General features: G+C 47.8%; 1 annotated feature.

The window, feature by feature from the left end:
• Nucleotides 378-878: an enhancer, noted in NCBI's record as "H3K27ac hESC enhancer chr6:141988902-141989402 (GRCh37/hg19 assembly coordinates)". NCBI's record gives its function as "activates a minimal SCP1, AML or CMV promoter by ChIP-STARR-seq in naive and primed H9 embryonic stem cells {active_cell/tissue: H9 hESC(naive and primed)}" and the evidence as "EXISTENCE:reporter gene assay evidence [ECO:0000049][PMID:30033119]".

The following is a 1,100-nucleotide window of genomic DNA, read 5'->3' on the forward strand; positions in this document are numbered from 1 at the left end:
AACTGGGGAACCAAAGCTCAGGTTCAATAGTGCAGGACCACAAAATTGACAGTTAGAGACTGATTTTGCTTGTACTGATAATTGTACATTATGCCTCTCAGTATTTTGCCATTGTTCTAAAAGTCAAGATAGTATGTTATTTTTTCAAGATGGTGGATTGGAGGCTTTTAACATGCCTCAGCCACTTGGAAATACCAAGACAGTGCAGAAAGATAAACTCTGTGAGTTTTAATTCAAGAAGGAAAATGGGAATCCATCAGAATACTGAAGGATATCCCAGATCCCTGGGAAAACATGAGCCAACAAGCCCCTGTGATGGCATCTGACTGATAAAAGGGAGTGAAGCCAGAGTACATGAGAGAAGCAGACAGTCTCCCTCTGTGACTCACCTTTTCACTGGGGATTCAAGCAACACAGTCCAAGAGACAACACTTTGTTCCTTCCAAGTCCTGGAGCTAATGTGAGGAGTGGCTTGGAGGCACAGAGGGGGAAACAACGTGGGAAAATCTGCAGGCATTTTTTCAGCCCTTGGACTGAGAGCAGGATGTCATTTTTAATCTAGGCACATACAAAGTCAGTCATTCTTTGACGACCTAGCAGCATGGTCACACAGACATTTTAGTCTCTTGCCAAAAACTGAAGCACTTGCTCTAGAGCAGAGTAGGGCTCTCCACAGCCAAAACTGTGGGAAGTGCCTGAACAGTAGACACTGGAATTATGTTTTCTCTGTCACAGGCCTGGGGCAGGAGGAGGACTGCTGCAGCTGTGCTTTTTCCTAGACAATGAGACTTGCAGGCAGGGCCAGCTTGGCAACCTGGAACTAGTCTGTGTATTGCTTTATCGGATGCTCCAGCCTGCTCCCCTGAGTTTGTGATGCAACAGGGCCTTTCTGCTCCATCCTCAAGCAGAAATCCAGGCACTTGGGGCACATGTTTCCCTGGGCCAGCAGTCTTAGCAGCCTCCACCCTTCTTGGGCATAGATTATGTTGCAGTGAGACCTCTCTGCTCTACGCCCAGGCACATCCTCAGGCATTCAGAGCATCTACTCACCTAGATCAGCAGCTGGTGCCTCCCCACCCTTCCTGGGCAGAGATCTGGGA

The sequence above is a fragment of the Homo sapiens genome, chromosome 6 (assembly GCF_000001405.40).
Source record: "Homo sapiens chromosome 6, GRCh38.p14 Primary Assembly".
NCBI classification, from domain to species: domain Eukaryota; kingdom Metazoa; phylum Chordata; class Mammalia; order Primates; family Hominidae; genus Homo; species Homo sapiens.